This window comes from Homo sapiens, chromosome 16 (assembly GCF_000001405.40).
Source record: "Homo sapiens chromosome 16, GRCh38.p14 Primary Assembly".
Taxonomy (NCBI): domain Eukaryota; kingdom Metazoa; phylum Chordata; class Mammalia; order Primates; family Hominidae; genus Homo; species Homo sapiens.
Window position 1 is genome coordinate 20013592 of NC_000016.10, and position 14647 is coordinate 20028238.

Here is a 14647-nt window from a genome sequence, read left to right on the forward strand (position 1 = left end):
GTGTTCTTCTTTTTCTTTTTTCTTTTTAACTACTCTTTATAGATTGAGTATGGATAAGGTTTGGCTGTGTCCACACCCAAATCTCATCTTGAATTGTAGTTCCCATAATCCCCACGTATGTGGGAGGGACCGGGTGGGAGGTAATTGAATCATGGGGGCAGTTTCCCTCTTGCTGTTCTTGTGATAGTGAGTTCTCATGAGATCTGGTAGATTTATAAGGGGCTTTTCCCCCTTTTTGCTTGCACTTCTTTTTGCTGCCGCCATGTGAATAAGGACGTATTTACTTCCCCTTCCACCATGCTTGTAAGTTGCCTGAGGTATCCCCAGCCATGCTGAACTGTGAGTCAATTAAACCTCTTTCCTTTATAAATTACCCACTGTTGGGTATTTCTCCATAGCATCATGAGAATGGGCTAATACAGGCATGAACTCAGTATTTTGTGTGTGTGTTCATGTTTTTTACAGTATGCTTGCTTTAAATATATTGACAATGTCTTTTATCATGAAGGAGTTTAAACTGTTTGTATGATTAGGTCTGTAAGTCTTTTCATTCCTTTTCCTCCCTGGTTTTTGGTGTTATGCCAAGGAAAGCTATTGTTAAAGTAAATTAAAATGAAAACCAAGTGGGAAGAATCCCTGAGCAAACAAAGCCAGTTTGGTCTCAATAAGTGACCTTAACCTTGTTTGATTTGCAAACATAAGTGAAACTTAACTTGTGCTATTTCTTATAAAAGACTGTATTAAAGAATAACAGAACTGAAGCTCAACCAAACAGAAGCAGCCAACAAACTTATAATTATATAACTAGAAACTTTTCAACAGTATAGACTAAATAAGACAACTGTGTACTGTAACCAATCAAATATTCTTTGCTTTACTTTTATGTTTGTCCTATAAAAAGTCCCCCTTCCATTCCCTTGGCAGAGCTCCCAAACCTCTTCTGGTTTGGAGTTGTCCAATACATGAACTGCTGTTTGCTCAAATAAACTTTTAAAAATTTTGATTGTGACTCAGTTTACCATACCTACACTCAAGATAATAAACAGTGTCCCTTCTACTTTTCTACAAAGGAAAATATCCCTTTGGCATATTTTCCTTCTTATGTTTAAATAAATGTATCATGGATTTGTAATCCATTTTGATCATATCTTAAATTCCTACATATACATGAATCTATCTAGATTCAACCTCCTCATTTTACAGATGGAGAAACTCAACAGAGGATGGATTTAGTGACTTCACTCAGGCAGTTAATGGCAGGGCTACAATTAGAACCCAGGACTTTCTCTTTCTTAACCAGGGCTTTTTTCAACTTTACCCCTTTGCCATTAAGTGATTTGTATCATAAATGCCTTCTTATTTCTAGGACATGTATAGCAATATCTAACCCAGTGGTTTTCAGCTGGTATGCCAAAGAAAACTTCTTAGATCTTCCCTCAAACTGGAAGCAATGAATATAATTTTATTTCAGCTACAGTTGAAGACTCATACTGTAAATCAACGTCTATCAGGCTGGGCACAGTGGCTCATGCCTGTAAAATCCCAGCACTTTGGGAGGCCGAGGCAGGTGGATCACTTGAGGTCAGGAGTTTGAGACCAGCCTGGCCAACATGGTGAAACCCTATCTCTATTAAAAATACAAAAATTAGCCAGGCGTGGTGGCACACACCTGTAGTCCCAGCTACTGGGGAGGCTGAGGCAGGAGAATCGTTTGAACGCAGGAGGCGGAGGTTGCACTGAGCCGAGATTGTGCCACTGCACTCCAGCCTGGGTGACAGAGCGAGACTCCGTCTCAAAATAATAATAATAATAATAAAATCAATGTCTATCAGATGAGTGTGCATGGGATTTACTGTGGAGCAGGCATAACTTCCTGGAAGAAAGAAGTAAGAAGTATAGTGTAACATCATGCTGGTGACAAAGAAAGGCAATGCTTATAATGGTGTTGTATTTTACACTATCTGGAATCACTTTATTACAAATTCAACCAGAAGATCATTAAGTGAATTGTTCGTATTAAAACTCTCAAATAGGTAAAGGTTTTGTATGTTATGAATACAATATATCTTTAAAAAGAACTTAGTTTACTGTGGAGTCATTTACCTCAAATGGTAAAACTTAAAAAAATCATTGATTTCCCACACTAGTCATTATTTTCTGAGTGGAGTAATTATCCGAACAGTCTTTGAAAAGCTTTTTAAACAATCAGAGAAAAGGTGTTTAATGTCCATAATACAAAAGTAAAATGTGAAATCTATTAGTGTCAGGATAATTGCTATTTTCATCAAGAAAACTGTTAGTAGCTCAATCAACAATGCCTACTCTATGATGATGTTGGGAACATGTAAACATTTGAACTTGTTTACCATCTTTAAAGGAGAAATTAGTGTTTGTGATTTACATTCTGCATGAATTAAGAGGGACTTTAAAAATCTTCCCTTGATAGAGATAAGGTTCTAAAATTAACAAGTAAGGTGGAACTGAGTATAACAAAAAGTGCCATTGAAAGTCCATCAAATCATTAATGAGATAGAGTGTGGTATACAGCAGAAGCATCCTCTGGCATGGAAATGTCAGAGAGAAGCCCTCTAAAATAAAATGATATTTATTCAGCGCATTGCCATGAGAATACACATGCCACAGTAAACTAGGTGTGTATTCAAGGAGGTAAAGGAAGGCAAAGATTTTTAAAGGAAAACTGCAGGAGAACTATGTAATTGTTTTGAGATAATCATCCTTGGCTACAAGGGTCAATAACGAGGGTGATACTGGTCTGAGATTCGACAGACAGTTGCTGGGCAGACGTCCTCACAGAAGTATTTTTTGTGTAAGGCTGCAATGGCGTTTGTGCAAGATTGCAGATTTTGTGGGGTCTTTTGTCCCAGTTTTGTTGTCAGGAATACAAGCGTGAGAACCCTCTCTTCATAGCCTTCCCTGCCCTATTCGTCAGGATTTTTGTTTGTTTTTTTAAACACAAACGACTCCATTTTGATTCTTACAACTTTCACAAGAACAAATGTTTATTCAATTGAGGACCAATTGAAGTAGTTGGCTTGTGTTTAGGGGTCAATTACATGAAAAAACCCATGTTTTCAGGCATGAGATCACTCCAGGTCAGCTGAGGTGCTCACACTCTGAGAGGCATGTGGAAACAGAGACTGAATCAATTGTAGATTTGTGTGTCCCATTTCAAACTCATTCTCATGTTGCAGAATGCAGAGGGTGACTCTTACTATGTATATTGTTATGATTATCATTGCTGTGTCTCATTTTATTTCTTCCTTTGGTTCAGTTAAATATCGGTTTGTTGAAATTCCACTAACACAGATTTTATAAGAATTTTACTTTGAGAATAGGTAAGAAGGCACAGGTAGGCCAGTGAGTTTCTAGTAAAACACAGCTAGTGCTGAAGGGCCACTAAATAATGAGTTCAATAAATGCAAATGCTGTTTTAATTTTTATTTTGAGATGGAATCTCACTCTACTGCCCAGGCTGGAGTTCAGTTGCACCATCATAACTCACTGCAGCCTAGCACTCTTGTGCTAAAGTGATCCTCCCACTTCAGCCTCCCGAATAGCTGGGACTGCAGGCATGCACCACCACACTCTGCTATTAAAAAAAATTTTCTTTGGTAGAGATGGGGTCTCACTATGTTGTCCAGGCTGGTTTTAAACTCCTGGCCTCAGGCAATGTTTCTGCTTCAGCCTCCCAAAGTGCTGGAATTGTAGGCATGAGCCAACACAACCGGCTAGATGCTTTTGTAAAAGGACCAAAATATGACTGTTTTATAGCAGCAATTACATTGCAATTACTATTGACTTTTAAAGACTTGGTTTGATTCTGTTAATCCCTTCAAGCATGTTCCTGAAAGTTTGGGTATTTCAAAGTGGGCTGTAAACAAAAAGAAACTGAAAAATCTCTGCTTTAGATTTATTTTAATTAATTTAAAATTATCTAAATTAATCTGCAATTTTTCCCCCTGATTAAATTGTCTTCCTCACTCAGGAAGAATAGATAATAGAAACAGAGTACCAGTAATAAAGTTATCTGTGGGTTGTGGAGAGAGTATTGGTGCTTGCAGTATATTTGGAAAGAGGCACAATTGGAGAAAAAAAAAATGCTAGAGGAAATGTAAGAGTTACTGAAGTCATTTAGATTAGAGAAGAACTCCCTGTAAGTTTAGGCCAGATGCAGTAGCTCACACCTGCAATTGCAGCACTTTGGGAGGCCGAGGCGTGCAGATCACTTGAGGTCTGGAGTTCGAGACCAGCCTGGCCAACATGGTAAAACCCTGTCTCTACTAAAAATATAAAAATTAGCCTGGTGTGCATCAGAGTGAACAGGCAACCTACAGAATGGGAGAAAATTTCTTCAATCTACCCATCTAACAAAGGGCTAATATCCAAAATCTACAAAGAACTTAAATAAATTTATAAGAAAAAAACCAACCCCATAAAAAAGTGGGCAAAGGATATGAACAGACACTTCTCAAAAGAAGACATTTATGCAGCCAACAGACACATGAAAAAATGCTCATCATAACTGGTCATCAGAGAAATGCAAATCAAAACCACAATGAGATACCATCTCACGCCAGTTAGAATGGCGATCATTAAAAAGTCAGGAAACAACGGATGCTGGAGAGGATGTGGAGAAACAGGAATGCTTGTACACTGTTGGTGGGAGTGTAAACTAGTTCAACCATTGTGGAAGACAGTGTGGCGATTCCTCAAGGATCTAGAACTAGAAATACCATTTGTCCCAGTGATCCCATTACTGGGTATATACCTAAAGGATTATAAATCATGCTACTACAAAGACACATGCACACGTATGTTTATTGTGGCACTATTCACAATAGCAAAGGCTTGGAACCAATCCAAATGTCCATCAATGATAGACTGGATTAAGAAAAAGTGGCACATATACACCATGGAATACTACGCAGCCATAAAAAAGGATGAGTTCATGTCCTTTGCAGGGACATGGATGCAGCTGGAAACTATCATTCTGAGCAAACTATCACAAGGACAGAAAACCAAACACCACATGTTCTCACTCATAGGTGGCAATTGAACAATGAGAACACTTGGACACAGGGCATGGAACATCACACCCCAGGGCCTGTCATGGGGTGGGGGACAGGGGGAGGGATAGCATTAGGAGAAACACCTAATGTAAATGATGAGTTGATGGGTTCAGCAAACCCACATGGCACATGTGTACCTATGTAACAAACCTGCACGTTGTGCACATGTACCCTAGAACTTAAAGTATAATTTAAAAAAAGTTAGCCTGATGTGGTGGTGTGCACCTGTAATTCCAGCTACTTGGGAGGCTGAGGCACAAGAATAGCTTGAACCTGAGAGGTGGAGGTTGTAGTGAGCCGAGATTGCGCCACTGCACTCCAGCCTGGGCAACAGAGCAAGTCTCCATCTCAAACAAAAAAACAAAAAACAAAAAACAAAAATAACTCCCTGCAAGTTTAAAGAGGATTCTGAAATAAAGAGCAAGACTGTTTGTTGTTCTGTAGAAGAAGAAATAAAGAAGAAACAATTAGATGTTAATGAGCGAAGGTTGGTCTTGCTACTTGGAAGAATTTTTAAGTTCTCATCCTATTCTTCTACTTTCTTTCCTAATACCATTTATTAGTCATAGCATTGTTAAGTTTTTTTGGGTATTTGTAAGCTGAAATATTGTTCCACAAGCTTTGGGAGAGAACTGACATTGGCTCTGAAGGATGTGTTCACATGTGGTTAGTTAGGGAAGGGCAATGGGAGGAGAGATATTTCTTTGGGGTCTTCTCCAGCCACTTAGGAAAGTGACACATGACTAGTCAATCTTGAAATCCAATGACCAAGAGTCACTGGATAAATTTGGTAAAGCTTATCCATCTCAGAAGTATTTAAAGACTCTGCAAGATAATTCTCTCACTTTTGAGAGAGATAAGCCATTACATCTAAGAGTGCTCACAGATAGAATCTTTTGAGGAAAGAGTGATGGGACCGTGGGGTCTAACTCTGTGCTAGATTCACTTTCCCTTTTGGGGGGTTCCCACTTCAAGGTTGTTTTGGCTTTGGTTGGGGATACCCTCTTATTTAATATTTCAATTCAACCAGTACAAGATGGATTTTTTTTTTTTTGAGACAGGATCTTGCTCAGTCACCTAGGCTGGAGGACAGTGGAGCAATCACTGTGACCTCGACCTCCTGGGCTCAAGAGATTCTGCTGCCTCTGCCTCTTGAGTAGCTGGGACTATAGGCATGCACCACCATGCCCAGCTATTTTTTTAAAATTTTAATTTCTTTTTGTAGAGACAGGGTCTTGCTATGTTGCCCAGGCTGGTCTTCAACTCCTGACCTTGAGCAATCCTCCTACCTCTGCCTCCCAAAGTGCTGGGACTACAGATGTGAGCCACCACACCTGGCCCAAGATGGAATGTTTAAACAGGACTTTACTAAAGCTCTGGGTCTATGGCAGAAAACCAACAAAGAGAACCTTAAGGAGACAGTCAAATTAAAAGTAAAGTTGACTCATCAGTAGGGTTTCAAGAAAAACAGCCAGTTTTCTTTCAGCCCCACCTTTGTCTTATCCTCCCTAGGAAAACTAAAATAAGCAGATCCCTCTCTCCTACTTTCCAAGGCTCATTTCCCTTTCCCTGTTTGATGACCTGCCTTTTCTCTTTATGACAGATACTATGATGACCTCATTCTCTGGGAAAGACCCTGTACTTTCCCTCATGGAGATGGCCTTTCCCTTGCAGACCTGGCTGGGGCAGCCATGTCAGAGCATATCACCATGCCCCAGACAATCAAATACACTAAGAGGCACACACATTTAGCAACAGGGGGTCATTTCCTTACAGCGTCTTAGAAATCAGATATTTACAAGATTAATTTACAATAACAAGAAGCCCTTGTCTGCAACTGCAGAATATTTGTGGCCTCTCTCAGAGCCTGGGAGACACACTTGACATAGTGAGGACAGGTCACCTGTATCAACCCTCCCCCAGAATTAGGTTGCTATTAGTTGACTCCAGGGATATCACTTACCTCTATCTGATGAGATGAGCAAGTGGCCTTTATGCAGCTGCCATCACATCACCCTGAAGGCTGAAGTTTAGCTCCAGAGACTAGCAGTGGATGAAAATGGAGAGAGAGAACTAAGGTAAAATAGGGAGCCACATTTCATGGTATTGAAATTGAATATGGAGTGACTGATGATCTGCCTTCTTTCTTCCAAATTCTTGATGTTCTGTCTTTTTCAGGGACTCTCACTGGATGACTGAAATAAGTGATATGCTTTCTCTACTTTGGAAAAGAGGGACAGCTGGGAGCATGACATTGCTAAGCTCTTTCTTTCTGGGAGTGGCCTTGTCATCTCAAAGTAGATGCAGTTTCTCAGAGAAGTCCCAGAAGAGGCAAAGTTCTTCTTGTCCCTACTAGAGAGAACTAAATAATAAGAGAGTTTATTAATAATGTTTCAGATACTTAAAGTTATTATAAATAATTCCCACCACCCTGTTTTGAAGTCGGTACTATTGTTATCTCCATTTTACAGATGATGCAATAGTAGTAGCTCAGAGACTGGAAGTGACTTGTCCAACATCACTCAGGTGAAAAGTGGTGGCATCAGGATTTGAACTCAGACCTGCATGACCCACATCCTTTTCACATCAGGAGCCTGGTTTCAGGAGCTGCAATGCTTTGAATGTGTAACTACTTTGATTTTGGCACCAATTTTTTCACTTTTAGAAGTGCTATTTGGTGTCCGTATTGAGTCAATTACAATTATTATTATTATTTTTTATTTCAGAGCCTTTAGAGAACTGTGTGACAGCTGGGGGAGATGGGTAGGGTGGGACTGAAAATCTCTGACCCTGAAGATAGGAATAGGCTTTTACAGGCACCCAACACCCCTGCTTTAAGGACAGTGAGGTGCTGAGAGGACCAGGAGGATCTTTTCTTGCCTTGCTTCTTTAAGTATTTTAGTTGTACAGCACACCTGACTGTTTGCCTCCATGCGGGTTATGGAATTCCCTGAGCCACTTTTATAAATTCCCTAGGTCATGAAGAGGTGAATGTAGAAAGAGAACCATATTCTCTTTCTAGTAGTTCTACATTAGGAATTCTTGTTCTTAATCTTTCAGAAGCATTTGGAAGGTAACTTCTCTCAACTTTCCTCTTTTACTGTACTCCCAATGGAGAATGAAGGTCTTGACTGATTTGTAGAATCGGGAGAAGGTACACAATATATGTGAATAAACCTCCCTCCCTCCCTCCCTATTTCTCAGGCCAGCCTGACCCTAGGAGGCAGGAATTCTTCCTATGCTCCCGTCTTCCCTGTAGGACCCCCTAACTGGGTTGTGGTCCATGCCTGGCTTCCAAAGGAAGGTCTAGAGGCCCATCTCTAACTGTCTTCACCAACAAGGCTTGATTTGGAGACAGAAAATCTGCTTGCAACAGTCTGCATAACTGTTTTCTGTGCAGTCCCAGACTATCTCATGGGTGTCTGGCTGAAGACTGAAACTCACTGGGTGGGAAATCTGTTGGCCCTGGGTCCGGCTGAAGTTCTCCAATCCACCCTTACAGTAATAGAGCTTAAAATTGATATCTACCAACCAATTTCTTCATTTTATTTCTCAACTTGTTCCAAAGCCAGAGTGGGGGATAGATGGGTGGGATTTATCAGCCCCCTGAGACCTCAACAGTGAGATGTGCACACACTGTGGACTCTCAAGCAATTGTGAAGAGTCTGAATTTGTGAAATGGCCAAATGACGATTATCTGGGAGAGCTGTATGGTATTTTCCCAGTTAACCAAGTGTTACTAAGTAGCCAAGTGGTTCTCAATCCTGGCTGCATGTCAGAATTACCTGGGAATGTTTTTAAAAATTCTGATGACTTGGGCTCATTGCTGGAGGTTCTGACTTACTTCTTCTGGGAATAGTGTTTGAATATAGGTTTTAATAAAAACTCCAGGTGAGTCTAAAGTGCAGATAAGAGCTGCTGAAGCCTCCTTATTTAACAGATCAGTGTTTCCCAAAGTATAATGCTTGTAACACTCAGTGTGTGAGTCGGCTTAGATAGCACAAAGTTTGACTTTGAAAACACTAAAACATATTGTGAAAAAGTTTACCTTTCTAATTTTCTATTAGTTCTTCTGATTAGATTAAAAAGAATGTCTCAGTATGGCAGTAGTAGACGCCTAACACCTATCTTTTAAAAGAGTGTAGATATCAAGCTCACACAATAGTATGTATTGAAAATTATTGATAGTCTTTAATCTTTTTTTTACAATTTCTATCTATTTATGGTAGGTGATACTGGCTTTCCGTTTATGGTGGGGATATGAAGTTTTCTTTAAAAAATCAGTGGCTCTCCATCTTGGCTTCACATTGAAATCATTTTAGGAGCTTTAAAAAATAATGATACCTGGATTTCATCTTAGGCATTAGGATTTTCAAAAGCTCCCCAAAGGTGTAAAACTGCAGTTTTAAAGTGCGTCAGTTTAGTGCTCCTCAAACTTTAATATGAATTACCTGGAGATCTTATTAAAATTCAGATTCTGGTTCAGCAGGCTGGGGTGGGCACAGTGATTCTACATTTCTTGCAAGCTCCCAGGTGATGCTGATGCTGCTGATAGGTGGGCCATGATTTGAGGAGCAAGGCCCTCGTGGAACTTGCTTCTGTACTTTAAATATTTTCATAAAGTAAACAATGCTGTCTCAATTTATTTTTTATGGGAGGATTGCAAATCTTCTTAAAATGGGTATTAGTCTTCTTGTTCAAAAGTCATGGCCAAATAGTTTCAGCACCTTGGACAGAAGCACAGGCAATTATTTTAAAGGGCTAGTGCCTAAGCTGGAGAAGGAAAAAGAGTTAAAAATCTCTTGTGTATTAAAGCATTTGTAAAATAATGATGTTGAAAATATTATTGAAGATTGTGAAAGAAAGTTTAAAAATAATTATGCCTCTTTTTAAATGCCTACCCTGCTGGTAGACCCTGTATTGTTTTATCTGCCATCTTGTAGGGCTAATGCTCTGCCAGATATCATCAGACACATTAGTTGGGTTATGAAATAGAACCATACAGTATTATGCACTGATGATTTCTGACTCCTCATTAATTGAACTAGAAGATGGCTTTAGCCTAAATATCAACCTTGGATGATGAAAAGGCTAATGGGACCAAACTGCAAATTCAGGAGAGAGAGTGTGGAATGTCAACAACAGCATGTCAAAGTGGCCTGAAGTGAAGTGGCTCTTGGAGTCAGACAGAACTGAACTTGAATGCCAACTCATGAATTACTCACTGTGACCTTGAGTATGTTTAATTTAATCCCCATGAGATTCAGTGTTCTCCTCTGGATAATGGAGGTCACAACACGGTCTTTCAAGAATTGTGAAGATTAAGTGACATAAGAAGATCACATCAGTTTCTTACTTCAAACTTTTCAATGGCTTCCCACCAAATTCCTTTTTAGGGACCACAAAGCTCTACATGTGATATGGTTTGGCTCTGTGTCCCCACTCAAATCTCATCTTGTAGCTCCCATAATTCTCATGTGTTGTGGGAGGGACCCAGTGGGAGACAATTGAATTATGGGGGCAGATCTGTCCCATGCTGTTGTCATGATAGTGAATGGGTCCCATGAGATGGTTTTAAAAACGGGAATTGACCTGCACAAGCTCTCTTTTTGCCTGCCACCATCCATGTAAGATGTGACTTGCTCCTCCTTGCCTTCTGCCATGATTGTGAGACTTTCCCATCTATGTGGAACTGTGAGTTCTCCATTAAACTTCTTTCCTTTGTAAATTGCCCAGTCTCAGGTATGTCTTTATCGGCAGCATGAAAACTGACTAACACAACATGATTCAGCTCCTCCCTGTCCCTTCCTTCTTTTGTTCCATACCACTCTACCCCTGGATCACTAGGTTTCAGCAATATTAATCTTCTAATTGTTCCATGAGCACCCAAGGTTATTCCAATCTCAAGGCTTTTGTACTCTCTGACCCCTTTGCCTAGCATGCTCTTTTTATGACTGTCTGCTTTTAATGTGGATTTCAGTTCTGTTGTCACCTTCTCAAATAGACCTTCTTTGACTCATTTATCTATCTAGTGTTATTTCTGCCTGACCTTAGTCACTTACAATTATTTATTTCCAGCACTTATCACTACTTGAAATTATTTTATTTGCTTTCTTATGTACTGTCTTTCTCATTACAGTGTATGTGCCAAAAGGTCAGGGGTCTTATCTATCTTGTTCATTAATGAATCACTATGCCTAGAATACATCTTGACACATAGTGTATTTCAATAAGTATTAGTCAAATAAATAAATGACTAGAGAAGTGCCTGGGACTTGTTAAATGAGTGCCTACTCTCTTGACTCTTTCCATCTCCATCTCTAAAGGTGTTCAAGGTGACAGCCTGGTCATTGGAGATGCTAAGGAATAATATAAGAAACTTCTGGCCAGGCACGGTGGCTCATGCATGTAACCCTAGCACTTTCGGAGGCCAAGATGGGTGGATCACTTGAGGCCAGGAGCTTGAGACCAGCCTGGCCAATATGGTGAAACTCTGTCTCTACTTAAAAACAAAAACAAAAACAAAAACAAAAAAAACAGCCGGGCGTGATGGCGTGTGTCTGTAGTCCCAGCTACTTGGGAGGCTGAGGCAGGAGAATTGCTTGAACCTGGGAGGCAAAGGTTGCAGTGAGCTGTGGGCTGAGATCACATCACTGCCCTCTAGCCTAGGCAACAGAGCAAGACTCTGTCAAAAAAAAAAAAAAAAAAAAAGAAAAGAAGAATATAAGAAATTTCTAACCATGAAGATTTCTAACCATGAAAGTTTAAAGCAAGCTTGCAGAAGTATATAATCTTTCTACATTTCTGGGAACTGTACAGAAAGGTAATTGGAAAGAGGATCTACTAACATCTAGGTTGTGTAGCTTTGGCTCTCTTGGGCCTTAGCTTTCTTTTTTGACCTTTGAGTGAAACAGTCTCTAAGATCCTCTGTGACTTTCCAATGGTTCAGTGATAGTAAAAGAAGAATCTAACCTTTGTGGTTATTCTGCGTTTGCTTCCTGTCTCACTTTAGTCTTGATCTATTCTTTACTGCCTTATGCCCTGGGGTCTTCCCACTGTGGACTGCACCACCTGCTCTCCTTTTCTGGCTGGCTTCTGTTTGAACTTGGCCAGTGGGTGGCATCAGCATGATATCAGAGGTAAGGAAGAAAGAGGCATTCCTTCTGCTCTGGCATCATATCTCTGACTGTGATGTGGCCCCTTCTTGGTGGAAGGCCCCTCCTCCAAGGCTCTAGACCTCACTGAGGTCTACTAGGCTCTAGACCTCACTGAGGTCCACTAACATCCTTTCCTCTCATTGCTTCATTAGGAGAGGTAAAGCTTCCTGTTATCTCTAGTTCCAAGGTACCTCAACAGCTAATGGAAAGCTTCCTCACAGGAAGCTTCACCTCTCATAAGTTCCCCTAATCTTGCTCAAGCCATTGTTAGCAGTTTTTTGGTTAAAGTCATTTCATGAAACCATCTGATTGAGATTTGTTTCCCTGTAAGACTCTGATCGACAACCCATTTTGAAATATATCCAGAAAAGCAGATTCTAAGAACTCCCACTGAAAATCATTTGTGGTGTTAATAGACATTTCTGTAATGATTTCTTCTTTGGGTTTAATCTGGAACTCTCATACTGCAGTTGAAGTCTCACATCGTCTTGTTCCATCTCCAGTGGAGAGAAATGTCATGTTACTGCCATTCTCTCGGTAACAAAGCTCCAAAGACATGGCAACTCCTCAGGCAGAGTTGATGAGAAGACATCTTTCTTCCCTGTGGCCTTATTTACTCCTTCTAAATCAGAACATTCCCCCCATCTGCTTTTTTTTTTTTTTTTTTTGGCATGACAGTGACACATTCTGCCAATAAGCCCAGGAAATTCACAGTATCTATTTATCCCAGTAGACATGAGCCTCTTATCCCCCTTGTTGTGTCTGGCAAGTACTTGGGATTAATTGCACACTCTCCAAAGAGGCCGGACTATCACATTTAGCTGAGTGCACTAATAAAAGGATTATTATTTAATGGTTCAACCTCCTTCAACTCTCCTTTGTCCTGCCTCCCTGAATTGGAGAACAAAATTAATGAGGCTGCTGTGGCCATGCCCAAGAGCTTCTGTTTGCCACCCTTTCAGCAAATTCTTTGCTTTTCTGCACTTCCCCCTCAACTCCTAAGTCACTTTTATTCTCCAAGTTGATGCAAAGATGGATTGTGACAATAGTTTGTGGGTGGCTGTCAGAATTGATGGTGGTTTGTGTGGGAAAATGCATAGCAAGTTTGAGAGCTATGGTTAGGATTCCACATAGAGTCAATTAAAAAAAGTTCTACTCACAAGGAAAGGTCAAGCTGAGAGTTTTAATTATGAGGCTGTTATAATATATATCATGCCTGAATGATCTGGGTTTGAAGAGTTGCAAAATTATGCAATGCACCCAACTCTAAAATGGGCATAAAACCAATGTGATGTTTTGGGGGAATGACTTAGAATTTTGCAAAGAAGATAATGAGGTGAAGTGAAAAGGATGGAGTGTTGAGTGACCTGGGTTCCATTCAGGCCCAGATCATTGACCTCTTTGGGCCTAGCATCCTCACCTATAAAATGATGTACAATTGGAGGCTTTTTAAAAAACTCTGCTACTAATAATCACTTTATAAGTTACCTACTGGAATTATAATTAGCTCCATTTTATGGAGAGAAAATTGAGACTCAGAGAGAGAGAGATTGAGAACATTGCTCAAGTTCACATAGCCAGGAAAGTTATAGCCTGTAATAACTGACTCCAAATCTTGGGTTCCTGACTATAAGAGTTTCTACATACCTTGAAGACAACTGGAAAAAATTTAAATTATGCACCGTTTTCTAGATGAGGAAAGTCCTTAGGAAATCTCCAAGGACTTGCTCAAGGCCATTCATCTAGTAAATGGGGGAGCTGGGACATGAACTCGTGACTGTCTGACATCAAAGCCCAAGCTCTTAGACATGATGCTGGATTTCCAGTTATGATTATTAAAAAATCATCCTTCACTGTCTCAAAGATGTACAGAGGATGTGATCAGCAGAGAATTCAGATTTATACCCAGTAAACTACCTAAATGAGGATTGTAGGGAGCACAGTTCAGTGGTCTTAAATTCTGAACTATATCTGCTAACCAGGAGACAGATGGAACTCTGGTTTTATTCTAGCACCCAGCACAATGTATAAGAAAGATGTCCACTTAAATGTTAAATGTTTAAACCAGCATTCTGCAATTTGGAAGATATCATGCTTAGTGAAATGAGCCAGGCACAGAAAGACAAATACTATATGATTTCACTTATATGTGGAATCCAAAAGAGTCAAACTCATAGAAGTAGAGAGTAAAATGATGGTTACCAGAGGCTGGAAGTAGGTGAGAAGCAGGGAATGGGAGATGTTTGTCAAAGGGCACAAAGTTTGTTAGATGGAAGAAATAAATTTTGAGATCTATTGCATAGCAGGGTGAGTGGAGTCGGTAACAATGTATGTTTCAAAATAACAGATAATAAATTTCAAATTTCTCACCACAAAAAAAATGATAAGTGAAGTGACAGA

At 40.0% G+C, this 14647-nt stretch overlaps 2 annotated features.

The window, feature by feature from the left end:
- Positions 6110 to 7309: an enhancer, noted in NCBI's record as "MED14-independent group 3 enhancer chr16:20031023-20032222 (GRCh37/hg19 assembly coordinates)". NCBI's record gives its function as "activates an origin of replication core promoter dependent on BRD2, BRD4, P300/CBP and CDK7 cofactors, and independent of MED14, by STARR-seq in HCT116 cells {active_cell/tissue: HCT116}" and the evidence as "EXISTENCE:reporter gene assay evidence [ECO:0000049][PMID:35650434]".
- Positions 9713 to 9913: a silencer, noted in NCBI's record as "peak2522 fragment used in MPRA reporter construct". NCBI's record gives its function as "represses an SCP1 promoter by STARR-seq MPRAs in K562 erythroleukemia cells {active_cell/tissue: K562}" and the evidence as "EXISTENCE:reporter gene assay evidence [ECO:0000049][PMID:32103011]".